The sequence below is a fragment of the Homo sapiens genome, chromosome 3 (assembly GCF_000001405.40).
Source record: "Homo sapiens chromosome 3, GRCh38.p14 Primary Assembly".
Lineage (NCBI taxonomy): Eukaryota > Metazoa > Chordata > Mammalia > Primates > Hominidae > Homo > Homo sapiens.
The window spans coordinates 67,096,120-67,114,679 of NC_000003.12; the positions used below are offsets into that span (position 1 = coordinate 67,096,120).

General features: G+C 38.1%; 1 annotated feature.

The window, feature by feature from the left end:
- Positions 17,943 to 17,992: a silencer, noted in NCBI's record as "silent region_14511". NCBI's record gives its function as "represses an Ori minimal core promoter by ATAC-STARR-seq in GM12878 lymphoblastoid cells {active_cell/tissue: GM12878}" and the evidence as "EXISTENCE:reporter gene assay evidence [ECO:0000049][PMID:35858748]".

Here is an 18,560-nt window from a genome sequence, read left to right on the forward strand (position 1 = left end):
TTGGAGGAAAATAGAATGCTGCTTGGGGCTGACTACCTTGTTAAACAACAAAAGAGTCTCAGGACATTATATAAACATAAATTTACTCAATCTTTTGTGTAGGGAAGCATAGGGAGCAGAAAATAAGTCACATAAGCCATTTTCTAGGGATCTACGTAAACAACCATCTATGTAACCTCAGGGTTACAACTTTCATGGTGGAAAGAGAAAGTAATAGTGTCCCTTTTCTGAATAGCGCAATATTAACAGCAGCACCAAAAAACAGATAAAACAGTTCTTTGTTTCAGCTTTTGGATGTGTATTTTAAATTGAATAAAGGCCACAGATGAGATGAGGATCCCAGGATCCCTCCTCTTGTGTTAACTCACCTAAGCCATGAAACTCATCCTAGTTCTGTTAGCTATGGTGATTTCATTTAAATCTATGCCGTCACTTCTGGTTTGAGCTTGGACATGTAAAGAACTTGAGAGTCAACATCCTCCTTCTGCAATAAGCAAAATACGAACAAACTGGAAATCAACACCTTTTTTTGGATGCATCAGAGTACCACAATTGCAAAACAAACTGTCACCCCAAAATCAGGAGAGATAGGGTTGTCCAGAGAGACACAGCTGAGATTTGCTTTCTGGAGCAAAAGCTAGAGCTATAAACTGGTAGGAACTTTAAAATGGAAAGTTTGATGAATTGCTGGAAGCTGAATGTTTACTAGTATTAAGAGTGAGAAATTCCTGGGAGCTGCATCTTAAGGGGGACTCATACCTTCATGGCTTTCCTAGATGTGTCTAGGAACCTCTGCCAGATTCTCACAGTGAGGATCCAAGAAAGATGCTCTATGACTTTGGAAGGAATAGGGGAAGAGTAATCATTGTGAAATATGCCGAGAGGCTTCCACATAATGAAATTTACTCAGCAGGGGAATAGAAGGAGACACACTTGTGAAAGTCAGAGCCCAAGTTACTGGTCCACTAAAACACTGATATCTAATTGGAACGACATAGAATGTGCCCCCTTACCTACACTATGTTACCACACTAACAGGGCTCTGGTATCATAACAGCAGATTATGTTTGAGTTGCAAGACACAGACTCTCTCTGAGACGGAGTACTGGGGGAAGCCCAAAGTCAAGAGAGAAGAAAAACTCAAACAAGGACGTTAGAGGAATTTGAAGCTGCTGGCATCTATAGGTACAGCAAACGTTGCACACAACTGATATTCTGGCCAGATTAACATAAATCCTCACACTATAGGGCTATTTAATTCAGTTCCTAATAACCAATAAGTGTTCAGGTTTCAACAAGAAATTATAAGGCATTCCAAAATGCAAAACAAACAAACAAAAACAAGCCAAAAAACTACACAGTCTGAAGAGACAAAGGAAGCATCAGAACTAAACTTAGATATGACATAGATGTTGGAATTATCAAACAAGGAATTTAAAATAATGAAGATTAAGAAGTTAAGAGCTCTAATGGAAAAGTAGACAACATACCTACAAGAGCATAAAGTAATATAAAAAGAAGGATGAAAATTCTGAGAAATAATGAAAAGGAAATAGAAACGGTACTAATAATCAAAACTAGAAATCAGAAACAGTATAACAGAAATGAATAATGCCATCCATCGGGTGAAGAAAGAATCACAGTGACAGCATGGAAGATATGTCAGTAGAAACTCCCCAAACTGAAATGCAAAGAGGAAAAACAATTCTTTAACAACAAGCAAAATAGAATATCCAAGAACTGTGGGACAACTGCAAAAGGTATATCACATGTATAATTAGAATACCAGAAGGAAAATAAAAGGACAATGGAGAAGAAAAAATATTTGAAGTGATAATGGCTGAGAACTTTTCAAAACTAATGACAGCCCTGATGCAGTGGCTCACACCTGCAATCCCAACACTTTGGGAGGCTGAGGCAGGCGGATCACCTGAGGATAGGGGTTTGAGACCAGCCTGGCCAACGTGGTGAAACCCTGTCTCTTCTAAAAATACAAAAATGAGTTGAGCGTGGTGGCAGTTGCCTGTGATCCCAGCTACTTGGGAGGCTGAGGCAGGAGAATCGCTTGAACCCTGAAGGCGGAGGTTGCAGTGAGCTGAGATCGTACCACTGCACTCTAGCCTGGGCAACAGAGTGAGACTCTGTCTCAAAAAAAAAAAAATGACAAATACAAAACTACATATCCAGAAAGCTTAGAGGACACCAGGCAGTGTAAAGCATAAACAACCCACTCCCCACAACCAAAAAAAAACAAAAAACAAAAAACAAAAAAACTTTTAAACAAACCATAGCTAGGCATATCATATTTAAATTAAGTTAAAGACAAAGAATAAATCTTGATTTATTCTTCTTTCAAGATTATAAGGCATTCCAAAATGCAAAACAAACAAATAAAAAGAAACCAAGGCAGGGACTGGGGAGAACTTTGCCTACAGAGGAACAAGAATAAGAATTACAGTGGACTGCTTGTCAGAAACCATGCAAATAAGAGGAGAGTGAAATGAAATACTCAAAGTATGTGTTATAGGCTGAATGTTTGTGTGTTCCCCACATTCATACGTTGAAGCCCTAATCCCTATTGCAGCTGTATTTGGACATGGGCCTCTTAAGGAAGTAAAGTTAAATGAGGTCATAAGTGTGGGGCCCTGACCTGGTAGGAGTAGTGTCCTTATAAGAAATACCAGAGTTCTCTCTCTCTCTCCACTTGCACGCACTAAGGAAAGGCCATGTGAGGACATATTGAGGTGGTTATCTGCAATCCAGGAGGACAGCCCTCACTAGAAACCAAATGAGCTGGAGCCAAGTTGTCTTGGACTTCCAGCCTCTGGAACTATAAGAAAATAAATTTCTGTTGCTTAAGACACCAAGTCTATGGTAGTTCGTTATGGCAGCCCAAGCAGCAATATAGTGTTGAAAGAAAGAAACACCAATCCAGAATTCTATATACAGTGAAATTATCCATCAAAAGTGAAGAAGAAAGACTTCATCAGATAAACAAAAACGGAGATAATTTACCAAAAGTCCTGTCCTGCAGGCAATGTTAAAGTAAGTTTTTTGGGTAGAAGAAAAATGATATAGGTAAGAAACTTGAACTATGTAAAAACAAGGAATAGCATTGGAGAAGAAATCAATGAAGGCAAAATAAAATATTGTATTTTTATTATTTTAAATTAATCTAAAAGACAAGTATGTATTGAAAGTAATAATAACAATAATATACCGGGTGATTACAGGATATGGATAAGTGAATTAATGGCAGCAATGGCACAAGAGGGAGGGATTGGAAATATCCTATTTATATGTGCCTGCATTACATGTGAAACAGTACAGTGTTATTTGATGGTGAGCTTCTATTAAGTTAAAATGTATATTGTAAATTTGGGGCAACCATCAAAAAATTCTTAAATGTAGTTGATATACTAAGAAAGGAGATAAAATAAGATTATGTAAAATGCTCATTTGAAACAGAGTAGGCAGAAAAATGAGAGCACTAGGAAGGGAATAAAAAACAAATTCAATAAATAGAAAACAGACACATAGTAGATGATAACCCAACCACATAAACAATGAATTTAAATTGGAATGTTCTGCAAACACTAATTAAAAAGAGATTGTTACAGTGGACATAAAAACAAGTTCCAACTATATGTTGTGTACAAGACACCCGCATTATGTATAAAGACTCAGGCTGAAAGAAAATAAATGGAAAAAGATATGCCAACCTAATATCGATCAAAAGAAAGTTGGAGCAGCTAAATTAATTTCAGACAAGGCAGCTTTGAAAACAGGAATGGTTATCAGGGGCAAAGATGAGCATTATTATAATTGTAAAGGGGGCAATTCTTCAAAAACATCATGACAATTTAAGATGTATATGCACCTACAAAGAGAATACCAAAATACATGGGGCAAAAACTGAATAACTGTAAAGAGAAACAAATAAATCCACTATCATAGTTGGAGATTTCAACATTTCTCCATTGGTAAGTGATACACTAAGCAGACAGAAAGTCATAAGATTCTAAATGATCTGAACAGCACCATCAATCAACTTGGTCTAATTGATATTTTATAGCATAATCCATCCAACAACAGCAGATGCTTCTCAAGTTCACATGGAGCATTCACCAAGATAAACCACATCCTCAAGCATAAAACATACCTGAATAAATTTAAAAGAATAGAATTTATACAAAATGTGTCCTGAGACCACAAGAGAATCAGACTCGAAATCAATAACAGAACGTTATATCTGAAAATTAAACAATACACTTTTAAATAAACCATGGGTCAAAGAAGAGGTCTCACTGAAAATTTTAAAATATTTTTAATTAAATGAAAAGGAAAATACAACTTATGAAAACACATGGGACACAGAGGAAGTAGTTCTTAGAGGGGCATTTATGGCACTAAATGTACATATTCAAAAACAAGAATCATCAAAATTCTGTATACTAAAGTTCTGCTATGGAAAACTGAGCAAAAAAGAGCAACTTAAATTTAAAGCAAGCAGAATAAAAGAAATAATAAAAATTAAAATAAAAATCAATAAAAGTAAAAACACAAAAGAAAAAATCAATGGAATTTAAAAACTGGCTCTTTGAAAAGATCAATAAAATTGACAAACTTCTAGCCAGGCTAACCATTAAAAAAGAAAAACAAGAAGACACAAGTTGCAACATTAGACATGAACATAAGTTCATCACTATTGATCCATTGGATATCTACAGGATAATAAAAGAATACTATAAACAGACAGCTCTATGACCACTGTGATAATTTAGATTAAACAGCAATTTCTTGAAGGACACAAACTTTCAAAATGCACAGAAATAGATAACCAGCATAGCCCTATGTCTATTTAATAATTCAAATCAATAATTAATACCTTTCTAACGAAGAAAGCTAGACTTAGATGTGTTAACTGGTGAATTCTAACAAACATTTAAGGTAGAAATTATACCAATTCTCCACAATCTCTTCTAGGAAACAGAAGCAGAGGGAACACTTCTGAAATATCCTAGGAATCTAGTATCACTCCAATATCAAAAGCATTTCAAGAGAGATAAAATATACATGAATATATTTCATGAAGAAAAATGCAAAAATCTTCAAGAAAATATTACCAAATGTAATACAACAATGTATAAAAAATTATACATCAACATTAAGTTGGATTTATTCCAAGTATGCAAAGCTGATTCAACATTAAAAAGTCAGTCAATGTAACCCACTGTATCAATAGGCTAAAGAAGAAAGGTTATATCATCATATCAACTGATGCTAAAAAGCCATTCAGCAAAATGGAACATAGTCATTTAAAAAGCTATCAGAAAACTAAGAATAGAGAGAAACTTCCTCCACTTAATCAAAAACATATACAAAATAGCTACAGATAACATCATACTTAATGGTGAGAGACTGGACACTTTCCTCTAAGACTGGAAACAAGGCAAGGATCTCCCCTCAACACTCCTATTTAATGTCATACTGGAAGTCCTAGCTAGTTCAATGAGACACGCAAAAGAAATAAAATGTATACAAATTAGGAAGGAAGAAATAGAATGGTCTTTATTTGCAGATGATACAATCATCTATGTAGAAAAACTGAAAGAATAAACAAAAAGCTAACAGAACTAATAAGTGAGCATAGCAAGTTTGCAGGATGAAAGGTTAAGATAGAGTTAATTGTTGTCTTATGTATTAGTAGCTAACAATTGGAATTTGAAATTTAAAAAGATACTATTTACAGTGGTACACCCACAAAAATAAATACTTGGTATAAATTTAACAACACGTTTATTGACTTGTATGCAAAATACTATAAAATTCTGATTTAAAAAAATCAAAGAAGGTATAGATAGAGAGATCTTCCATGTTCCCGGATTGGAAGACTCAATGTTATTAAGATGGCAATTATTTCCAACTTTATCTATAGATTCAACATAATTCTACTCAAAATTCCAGCAAGAAATTTTACACATATTGACAAACTGATTCTAAAGTTTACGTGACAAAAAAACTTAGAATAGCTAAAACAATAGTAAAGAAGAACATGGAGGAATCACAACGCCTAACTTTAAGACTTTCTAAAAGCTAGAAATCAAGATAACATAGTATCGGAAAAAGAATAGACACACAGATCAATAAAACAGAAAAAGACTTACACAAATGTAGTCAATTGCTCTTTGACAAATATGCAAAGGTAATTCAATGGAGAAAAGACAGTCTTTTCAACAATTAGTGTGGGAACAATTGGATGTCTCTCTATAAAAAATAAAAATAGACACAAATCTTACACATTTCCCAAAAGTTATCTCAAAATGTTTGTAGACCTAAATTAAAAGGCAAAACTACAAATCTTTTAGAAGAAGGCATGAAAGAAAATCTACATGACCTTAGGGTTGGTGGTTAATCTTTAGATACAGCACCAAAAGCACAATGCATGGAAGAAAAATTGATTCGTACATTTTATTAAATTAAAAAGCTCTGCTGTGCAAGATACCTTGTTAAGAGAATGAAAAGACAAGCCACAGGCTGGGAGACAACATTTTGAAAACACATATGAGATAGTTTGGATGCTGTCCACTCTAAATCTCATGTTGAATTGTAGTCCCCAATGTTGTGGGGATGTGAGAGGTCTTTGGGTCACCTCAGGGGGCATATCCCTCATGGCTTGGTGGTGTCCTCACAGTGGTAAGTGAGTTCTTGCAAGATCTGGTTACTTAAAAGTATGTATCACTTTACTATCTCTCTCTTGCTCCTGGTTACCATGTGAGATGCCTGCTCCCCCTTCACCTTCTACTATGAGTGTAAGCTTCCTGAGGCTTCCCTAGAAGCCATCCATGTTATACCTAGAAGCCTCAGGAAGCAGTTGCCAGCACCATACTTCCTGTAAATCTTGCAGAAGTATGAGCCAATTAAATCTCTCTTCTTTATAAATTACTCAGTCTCAGTTATTTCTTTATAGCAATGCAAGAATGATTTAACACAGAAAATTGGTATCAGGAGTGAGGTATTCCTATAAAGAGACCTGAAAATGTAGAACGGAGTAACAGGCAGAGGTTGGAAGAGTGTGGAGTGCTCAGAGGAAGACAGGAAGATAAGGGAAGGTTTGGAACTTCTTAAAGACTGGGTAAATGATTGTGACCAAAATGCTGATAGTAATATGGACAGCAAAGGCCAGGCTGATGAGGTCTCAGATAAAAATGAGGAATTTATTGGGAACTAGAGCAAAGACCACCCATGTTATGCCTTAGCAAAGGGCTTGACTGCATTCTGTTCATGCCCTAGGGAACTGAGGAAGTTTGAACTTAAGAGTGATGACTTGGGGTATCTGACAGAAGATATTTCTAAGTGTTTAAGAGTTGTCCTGGCTGCCTCTAAAAACCTATTCTCAGATGTGGGAGCAAATAAATGACTTAAATTTGGAAGTTATATTTAAACAGGAAGCAGAGTGTAAAAGTTTGGAAAATTTTACACCCTAAACATGTGGCAAAAAAAAGGGCTTTTTTGAGGGGATGAATTGCTGCGGAGCTTATTAGAGAGGTTTGCATGACTAAAAAGAGCCAAGTGCTGATAGCCAAGACCAATGGGAAAAAGTCCTCGAAGGACTTTCAGAGACATCTGAAGCAGCCCCTCCCATCACAGGCCCAAAGGCCTAGGAGGAAAGAAGGGTTTTGTTGACCAGGCCCAGGATTCTGCAGCCCTGAGCAGCCTTGGGCACTGCTTCCTGCATTCAGGCCAATCCAGCTTTAGCCATGGCTCAAAGGGACCCAGTTATAGCTTAGGCCACAGCTCTGGAGGGCACAAGCCATAAGCCTGTGTGGTTTCCACATGGTGTCAAGCCTGCAGGCTCACAAAGTGCAAGAGTGAAGAAGCTCTGGAAGCCTCTGCCTAGATTTCACAGAATTTATGGGAAAGCCTGGGTGTCCAGGCAGAAGTCTGTTGTAGGGGTGGAGCTCTCACACAGAGCCTCTACTATGGCAGTGCAGATGGGAAATGTGGAGTTGGGGACCCATGCAGAGTCCCCACTGGGGCACTGTCTAGTAAAGCTGTGGGAAGGGGGCCACTGTCCTCCAAATCCCAGAATGGTAGAGCCACCAGCAACTTGCAACCTCAGCATGAAAAAGCCACAGGGGTAGGGTTTCCCAGGGCTTTGGGAGTCCATCCCTTGCAGCAGTGTTCCCTAGATGTGGTACATAGAGTCAAAGGAGGTTATTTTGGAGCTTCAGGATTTAATGACTGCCCTGCTGGGTTTTAGACTTGTGTGGGCCTATAGCTACTTTCTTTTGGTGTATTTCTCCTTTTTTGGAATAGGAATGTTTACCAATTCTTGTACCCCTCTTGTATCTTGGAAGTAAAAAGCTTATTTTTGATTTTGCAGGCTTGTAGGTGGAAGAGACTTGGTTTGTCTCAGATGAGACTTTGCACTTAGGACTTTTGAGTAATGCTGAAATGAGTTGAGACTTTTGGAGGACTATTGGCAGGAGATGATTGTATTTTGCAATGTGAGAAGAACATGAGATGTGTGAGGCCAGGAGCAGGATAATGAGTTTGGATTGTAATCCTCAATGTTGGAGGTGGGGCCTGGTGAGAGGTGTTTGGGTCATGAAGGTGGATTCCTTATGGCTTGGTGGTCTCCTCACTATAGTGAGTTCTCCTGAGATCTGATTATTTAAAAGTGTTTGGCACCTTCGTCCCCGACTTGCTCCTGTTCTTACCATGTGAAACATCTGGTCCCCCTTTGCCTTCTGCCATGTTTGTAAGCTTCCTGAGGCCTCCCCAGAAGCTGAGCAGATACCAGGACCATGCTTTTTATAAAAGCATGCAGAACCATGAGCCAATTAATTTTCTTTTATAAGTTACTCAGTCTCAGGTATTTCTTTATAGCAATGCAAGAATGGCCTAACACAACATATTTAACAAAGGGCTTGTATCTGTAATATACAAGAACTCTTAAAACTCAGCAATAAGAAAATAAACAAGCCAATGAAAAAATGGGCAAAAGATCTAAACAGACAACTGAGAAAGAAAGATATAAAGATGGCAAAGAAGCATATGAAAAGATGCTAAATATAATTTGCCATCACAGAAGTACAAATTAAAACAATAATAAGATACCACTACATTCCTATTAGAGTGATTAAAATCCAAAAAACTGACAACATCAATTGCCAGCAAGGATTCAGAGCAACAGGAAATTTCACCTATTGTTGCAGTGGATGCAAAATGGTATAGTCATTTTGGAAGAGGTTTTACAGTTTCTTGCAAAGCTAAAATAGGCTTACCATATGTTCCAAGACTCATGCTCCTAGGTGTTTACCCAACTGATATGAAAGCCCATGTCCACACAAAAACCAGCGTGTGAATGTTTACAACTGCCTTATTTAAAATCAACATCAACTGAAAGCAACCAAGATGTCCTTCAATAGGTAAATGGATAAATTGTGATACATTCAGACAATGGGATGTCATTCAGAAAAAATGAATGTGCTATCAAGCCACTAGACTAGGTTGTAGAGAACCGTGCATGAGGTAGAATCTGACACTTTGGAGCTGGGCTGTCCACTGGGAGAGTGACTAGCCACATGAACACTTAAAATATAGCTAGTGTGATTGAAGTACTGAATTTTCAATTTAACTTAATTTAAAATTAAATACGCACCATGTGTCTAGTGGCTGCTATCTCAGCAAGTCCAGCTTTAAAACATTAAATTCTGTTCCTCTCTCCTGCAAATGTCTCCAACCCCAGATCTAGTGCCCTTTGCTTCTCTCTCCATTCTTTGTTATAAGGATCAATTTAGACTTTCTCTCTTAGTTTTTATTTGATGCTCTGTTATGGTGGAAGGTGTGGATATGAGCTAGGAAGAGTGGGGATAAGTAGACAAGTCTACTGAATAAAGACAGCACCCTCTTTTTGTAGAGTTTCAGACACTGTTCTAAGGAATCTGCATGGGTTCCTTTATCTAATTGTCATAAAATCCTATTATAATGATTTCCATTTTATAGATGTGGTACCTGGCACACAGAGAGGTTGGCAAGGTTCACATAGCTACGAAACAGTGGAATCAAGCCAGGTTCACATTGTATACCACTGTGCTATAGTGTCTCCTAGTATGGCCCTAATTTGTGGGGCCAATGGGCTTGAAATAGCATTCACTTACTTCCAATACTACAGAGTACAGAAGCAGCAGCTTCTGGAATTTAGGTATCATGAATGATTAGTACCTTGTCCTACTCCAGGGAGTAGGACATAGAACATTGTAGGGCTGATATAGGCTGGGGAAGAGATGGCATCCATCTGCTACCAATATTTGCATTGATCATGTCATTTTTAGGTCCAGTGTCTTCAGTGGCTTCCCAGTTGTCTAGGCATCAAATGCAAACTCCTCAGCCTGCAATTTGTATCTAACTTACCTTTGTGACTTGATCTTCAACTCCTTGGGTGTTTATAGCCTCTACATGGTTTCTACTACCCACTGGTCTCTGAGCCCTTCTTGCACCAGTCTTCTTGACTTCCTAATTTGTGATTGAGGCATCTTTCCCAGTGGGATCTAGGTGGTCTAGCTCTTCACTCATGCTTCTCAACCTTTCATCTGCCTTGAAGCCTGTGTAGAATACACCAACCCAGTAACATGAAGCCCAGTGATTGCCTCCCTTCCATTCCACTGCCACTGCCCTTGCTTATGTCCACACTACCTAAACCACTGTGGTCTCCCAGCTCCTCCTTCCTGTAATCCACCTCCAAAATGCACCCAATAGCTGCTGAGTTGGTCTTCCTAGCAATGCTCAGCAACTCAAATTCTTGCTCATTTGCTTAAAACTTTCACCCTTTCCCCACCACATGATAATAATAAAGGTTTCCTACCTCTCTTAATCACTGGCCTTCTTGCGTTTTCCCAAGCATGCTGGTATGTATTTACCCCTTAAGCTTTGCATGCACTAGTCCCTCTCCCTGGGATGCCCAAGTGGTTGGTTCCCACGTAGCAGTCAGGACTATGCTCAAGTTTCATTCTCTCAGAGAAGCCTTCCATGAACAGAATACTGGATCTAGCTCTCCCTTTCTTCTCTTTTCCCCTCTTCTTTATTTTTCTTTGAAGCATTTATCATTGCTTCACATTATACGGCAGGTCCTTGAAGTATACCATTTTGTTCAATGTTTCATTACAATGTTGATGAGAAAAGTAATTGATTCTGTGAAGTCTGCATGTTCTCCCAATGTCTGTGTGAGTTTTCTATGGGTCTTCCGGTTTCCTCCCACATCCCAAGGCTGTGCATGTCAGGTTAATGGGTGTGTCTAAATGGTCCCCATCTGAATATGTGTGGGTGTGTTAGTGCACCCTACAGTGGGCTGGTGTCCTGTCTGGGGCTGGTTCGTGCCTTGAGCCACTGGGACAGACTCCAGCCACCTGAGATCCTGAACTGGAAAAACTGGATAAATCATTATCTTACTTGTTTTGAGTAATCTTTTAAAAATGTGAAGTTTTTAAAACTTTAATTCACATTAATTTCAATGTTTAATATTAAAAGGCTTTCGGGTCTTTCTTTAGAAGTCTGGCAATTTTGTGACTAGAAATATGCCAAAGGAACTTAACTCCTGTTGCTATAGGTTAGCCTAGGTAAAACTGGTTTCATTGTATGTAATTGCACTTAAAGTTACAGTTTCCAAGAATCTATCAAGGATATTAAGTGAAGACTTACTGAATATTTTTTGTTTTGTTTTTTTGTTAGTCTCCCTACTGGAATGTAATTCTGCCAAGGCCCACATGCTGTCTGTTTTATTTACTGCTATCTACAGCACCGAGAACCATGCCTAGGCCCCCAATAAACATTTGTTAAACAGATGAGAAAATGTAAAATATAAATCAGAATAGCTCTATTAATCAGACAACCTGGTTATAAGAAACAGAAATCTAGGAGGACAGTGCTTATTAATAACATTTGGAAGGGGAATGGCCTATCAGTATTGTTTCTCTAAAGTTGTATGGACCAAACTGTCTTATCAATTTGCAGTGGCAGGCTCATTCGGACAAAAAAAGATTAATACTAAATGCTGCATTCCATGTTCATTTCGTGAAGATCCACAACACACGGTAGCATCTTTAAGGTTCTGAGCCACCCTGTAATAAACAAACTAGACTTAAAAAAAACTTAAATATATATCAGCACAGAATTCTTTTTCTAAAGAGCTCCTCAGAGTAGATTCAAGTTAAGGTGGTGGCCTGACGTGAAATAATTCTATCCCACCTTCTTCTGATATAGGCATGGTATATCCTAGCACAGAGGTATGCCTCTGTGGCTCACAATTTGTCTAACAGATGGACATGTGAACTAAGCCAGGCCAATTAGAGGACATCTGAGAATTAAATGATGAATCTGAGAGACAGACTTTCCTTGCCTCGCAGGCTGTGGATCTAAGGCTATAACTTTTCCCCCCCATAAGTTATTGGGGTACAGGTAGTATTTGGTTACATAAGTTCTTTAGTGGTGATTTGTAAGATTTTGGTGCACCCGTCACTCATGTATACACTGCACCATATTTGTAGTTTTTTATTCCCCAACCCCATCTCACTCTTCCCCCCAAGTCCCCAAAGTCCACTGTATCGTTCTTATATAAGGCTGTGACTTTTAAGAAGCCCAATCTATACTCCTTGTCTCATGGAGAAAGTCTGTTTATGGCAGGACAGGAGCCAACATAATTCTCAACAAGAGAATTAGCTGAGAGATGGAGAGAAAAAGAGGAGGAAAAAGTAAATAATGGAGAATAATAGGGACTTAATAGGGATAATAATATGGCATTTAAGTCTTTAAATCCAGTCAATTTCTGAAGCGAGATCCACCCCTGTCTTGACGTTTGAAAATTTCTTTTTTTTTTTTAAAGATCGGCTCACTAATACACACTCAATACCATTTTTACATAATGCCCAATGACAAACCTCAGCAGTTAAGCCTGACTTGTTGACTAGCCCACTCAAAATTGTAAAGGACAACACATAACCAACCAACTAACCAACCAACAAGAGCAAATGGTGCCCTTGTCTCTGAATGATATACAGATTTTTTTCTACTCCTTCATGGATGAAATCTACATAGATTCTTAGCTTCCAACAAGAGTAAGATAATCAGATACAGTGTGATATTGTGCAAAGACCAAGGTGAGCACTTACAAGTTTAAAGTACACAATTCCAAGGGCTGGGGGTAGGTGCTATTCACAGCAGTCTTTAGAGGCTCTTTAGTCTGATGAACCTGACTATGCAAGTTCTCTACACCTGTGTTTCTGCAGAAGCAACAAGGGGCAATCTTCCTCCACCCAGGAAAGCAAGACACTTGCCTAATGCTTCTTTATGTCCTCCAACAGTGTCTTACCTAGAGAAGGGCCTTAATTCAGGTTTGTGGAATGAATGAAACTCAGGCTGGTCCTGTTCCTTATTAACATGGTTATAGTCAAGGTTGGCTTAAGGAATTTGTAATAAAATTTATTTTCAGCACATTACTTCATGAATGCTATCCTTGTAGATTCATATATATTCAGTGGTTGCTTTTGAGAAATCTAAAAATACCGTCACTTGGCATTTGCCCTAGAACAGTGTGCTGCCTTGATGCAGCCATAACAGTCATACCATATGGGAGGAAACCTGGGTACTTTCAAACAGACTCCTCTTTTAAAATCAAGTCTGCTGCTGTCGCTGGAGCTTGCAGCCTCCTGAACCTCTTTATTTAGATACAGCATTCCAGGGCCATTATTTCATATGTAGAGGGATTTTTTTAAATAGCTTGCAGTTTGGGCTTTTCACCACTAGAGTTCAACCTTGCTCTTATCTAGATGATTTCAAGGAAGAAAACTAACTAAATAAAATAAATCAGCATCTCCTCAAACAAAACACAAAGAAAATTCCCTAAGTACCTTCTCTAATTCCAATCCTGACCTTTGACTACCAAAAGCTGGCTTCGTTCATGTGCCTTTTTTTTTTCTGACATACTTAAGATTTCCTGGTTGGTATTGTCATCAGGGATCAAATTCTTGAATGCCCTTGCTTAGTTACAAGTAATTTATCAATGCTTGATAAATAATTTCTCCTTAGATTCAGTTTGTTTATTTCTAAGTACAATCTTTAGCCGAAACTGCCTGGCTGATTGATGGGAGAGCATGCTTCTGGTCGGTAGATCCTGGGGGCTCACAACAGGGTAGTCAGAGCTACAGTGAAAGCGACTGCTACTCTGGGTCTCATAGTTGATCATTAATTTTTTGAGAAGTTTTTTCTTTAATAAATATAGCTTTCTCCCTGAGGTTTGGTTTTGATTTCCAAATTCAAGACGTACCTCTTTTTTCCCTTTCTTTGTACCCATTGTCTTCAGATATATTTCTGAAGAGACCAAAATCAAGCATACAATGTCACAATTTTGCTAGTGGTCAACCTATCACTCCCAGGACTTCTAAAAACTATGCTGTGTCAAATTAGGCATACATAATAATTAGAAATGCATGATAAAAGCTAACATTGCACATTTATCATACACTTGGCACTTTAGATGCTTTATTTCATGCAATCTTCACAAAAGTCTTATGAATCAGGGATGATCCTCAGTCCCATTTTACAGATAAATAAACAGTAATATATATAAGTCTTTTTTTTTGAGATAAGGTGTTCACTCTGTTGCCCAGGCTGGAGTACAGTGGTGCGATCTCAGCTCACTGCAGTCTCCGCCTCCTGGGTTCAAGTGATTCTCACGCCTCAGCCTCCCGCATAGCTGGGACCATAGGCATGAGCCACCATGCCTGACTAATTTTTTGTATTTTTGGTAGCGACAGGGTTTACGCCATGTTGTCCTGGCTGGTCTTGAACTCCTGAGCTCAAGCATTCCACTCGCCATGGCCTCCCAAAGTACTGCATATAAATAATTTGACTAAGGCCACTCAGCTAGTAAGTGGTGGAGTGAGAAGTCAAACACAGGTCTCTACCTGAACATTGTGCTCAATGAGGGTTCTACATTCATATAGCCTGAACTTTTTGAGGGCACAGATAAAGAGTATAATAATAACCCTGATAAAAGGAGTGGCCATGGCTAGGCAGAAAAGCAAGAAACTTGCAAGGGATACGCAGAAATTAAATGATGAAACAAAATGTGTTAATTGAGATTTTGCAGCAGACACAGACACCCTGTTCAAATGGCTGACGTATATAGGCTTCACCATCTCTAATAACAGAGAACATGCTATCAACATGTAATGTGGTAAGAACTTCTCTCAGTCATACTGGCTAAAATGTTCACCAATTTATTACAAAGGAGAATCTTAAAATTGATCTTCAAAACTCACTATTTAGATTTTCACAGTTGTGACAAATAATAATGCTCAGGTTGGCTGTATGAGGAATTATCTAGGGTTCAAGTAGTCTCATCTAACCTTTTTGTTATCACTTTAACATTCTGGGTTAATGAGTCCTGTGTCCTACCAAATGCTATTACAAGTACTTACCCCTGATAGGCCATTCATTGAACTGTTTACTTATTCATTAAATACTAAGCGTCTACTACATACCATGCACTGTACTAGGTGCTGAGAATATGAAAGAAAACAAAACAAAAAACAAATGAAAATCTCTGTCTACATTTTACATTCTGGTAGGGGAGATAGAAAATGAGCAAACGAATAAGTAAAATGTGTAGTATGTGTGATGGTGATAAATATTACATAGAGAAAAATAAAACTGGGAAGGGAGATAATAAATGCTGTTCGATTTTGTTTGCTTGTCTTGCAACTTGAAACAGGGTGGCCAGAGAAGGATAACAACAGTAATAATAATAACAGTAATAGTAGTTCTTCTTCTTTTTTTTGTGAGACAGGGTTTCAGTCTGTTGCCCAGGCTGGAGTGTAGTGACCCAATCTCTGCTCACTGCAACCTCTGCCTCTCAGGTTCAAGAGATTCTCCCACCTCAGCCTCCTGAGTAGCTGAGACTACAGGTGCACACCATCATGCCTGGATAATTTTTGCATTTTTTGGTAGAGACAGGGTTTCACCATGTTGGTCATGCTGGTCTTGAACTCGTAACCTCAAGTGATCTGCCCACCTCAGCATCCCAAAGTGATGGGATTACAGGCGTGAGCCACTGCACCCAGCCTAATAGTAGCTCTTGTTTTTGGTCATTCTAGGCAAAGTAGCAGCTAACATTAATTGAGTACTTACTATGTAGCAGGCCTCTTTAATTTATATCTCATTTAATTTTCATAACCACTCTGTTTCACAGATAAGGGGAAACAAACACAAAAATCATGTAACTTGTCCAAATCACACAGCTAACAAAAGAAAACTGTGGACATTTTGAGTCAGAGCCCAGGTTCTTAACCCTACCAGCATGCTTTTCTTTTGGTATTTGCTGCTGTATACTTTAATTGCCTATGTAAGAAACAACACCGAGTGAACCATGCTGACCTAATTTTCTAGTTCTAGTTTGTTTCATTCATAGTAATATAAAAATTAGCTGCTTATTTTCCATAATAACTCCTTAAATACACTTGTTATGTGGAATATATTAAGTTAGTTAAGAATATGGTTTATTTATATATCTAGAATATGTACTCCCTTTATATTAAAATATTTATAGCAGCTGACAAAATTTAGTGCAAAATAGACTGATTATCCATAAGAATTATAAATGATAAATAAATGAACCTTGGTAGGTTGTGCATGCAAAGACAAATCAGTTAATGATAAAAACAGAATAAGGATTATCTGCAGGAGCATGGGGTGCAGGTAATATCAGGCATCTGAGATGAACTCACTACTACTATCAGAAACTGAGTTTGGCTATACGTTTCCTAGCTGCTAAGACAGAGCAACATCCACACTAGGTTACATAATATTCATTTTTTTGAACAAAAGAAGATAGAAAATTGTCCTTGAGAAAAACTTTCTTACAACTGATCCTTGTAAAAGGTTCATGGGCTAACAGTGAAGAATATTTTCAACTTTGCAGGAAGCAAGGACTCCTGAAAGAATTTTTTTTTACAATCTTCTATAATAAATGGGAGTGAAAATGAAATTGGCATTTTTGGAAGGGGGGGGGAGAAACAGTTGAGATAATATGACCTAGGTATTCTCTGTTCTGCATACCTTATTTAACAGTGGGTTACAGAATGGGGAAATGGATAGTTAACAATTTCCACGGATTCTTCCTCAAAATATTAATTACAGTAAGCAGACCTTTGACAGGTGTCATATCACAATTAATTTCATGACTAGTAAAAATATAATTAGACTAGTAAAAACAACAACTGCTACAAAATAACAGTGGCAGCTAATAACTACTGCATACTTATCAGGAGGCAAGATCTGGGTCGAACATTTTACAAACATTATTTCATTTAAGGTTTCCCATAAGTTTCTGAGTTAGGCACAGTCATGTTCCCATTTTAAAGATGAGAAAGCTGAGACTTAGAGAAGTTAGGAAAGTTTCCCAAAGTTGCCCAGCTAGTAAGGATCCGAGAGCTCAGATTCAACTATGGTCGGACTGGTTCCAAAGCTTGTGTTTTTATCTACTACTTTGTGGTTACTCTACCACCTTTATTATATCTATTCCATGTTTTTACTGAGACAATTGCACAAGACCTGAGGAGACATAAACATTTAAGATGAGAATACACAGAGGAAAAAAAGAAGTGTTCTCCACTTCCTAGACAAAATTAGTAAGTTTAAGAAGACACAGAACCATACAGCTTACATGAAATCAGTTCTACTATTTATCACGATGGACAAAAGAAATGATGAGCCACTCTGCGCACTGTCATAGGTCAGACTAGGATCTCGCCTGGAACCCGAGGATGTGAGAAACCGCTGTGACTCATGGCTAACTGCTGTTTCAGAACCTAGGACAGCGGCACACATCCCTTCCACTAGGGGGCAGGGTGGTCATTACATTGTGATTGTTTATAAGCTGAGCCTGATTCTGACAGGCAGAAAGCCAGCTCAACTTCTGTAGCTTCAGAATAGGCAGCCAGTGGGGCCAAGTGTCCATGTTTGCCCCAGATAAGAATCTTGGACCTTTTCAAGTATTTGTAAAAGCATCCAGTGGACACCTTAGCTTTTTGCATTTGGTAACCACAGTGTCAAGAGCTAGAAAAAGTGTAAAATACCAAATATTAGAAGAGCTTTGGACAGTGCCAGCTTGAAAATGCCTCTCTTGGCCACTGTACTTATGTTGATTGATTTCATATTTACCTGTGGACTGACTGCAATAAATGGGCTTGCTAGCACATTTTTGGAACTATCCTTACCTAGGCTATGAAAAGTTCAGAAAGGGAAGTTAAGGGAGAACAGTATAACAGAAGTGGCTAGTAACAGGGGCTTTGGAGCCAGATAGACATGAATTTAGACTTGATTTCACCACTTTTTCACAATAGGACTTTGAGTAAATGATAACCTCTCTTTCTGTACTTCGATTTTCTCAACTATAAAATAGAAATGGTATAACAGATATCTTACAGGATTGTTATGATGACTAAATGAATCTCTAAAGCACTTGGCTGGATGTCTGGCACACAAGGCTCAATGATCACCAG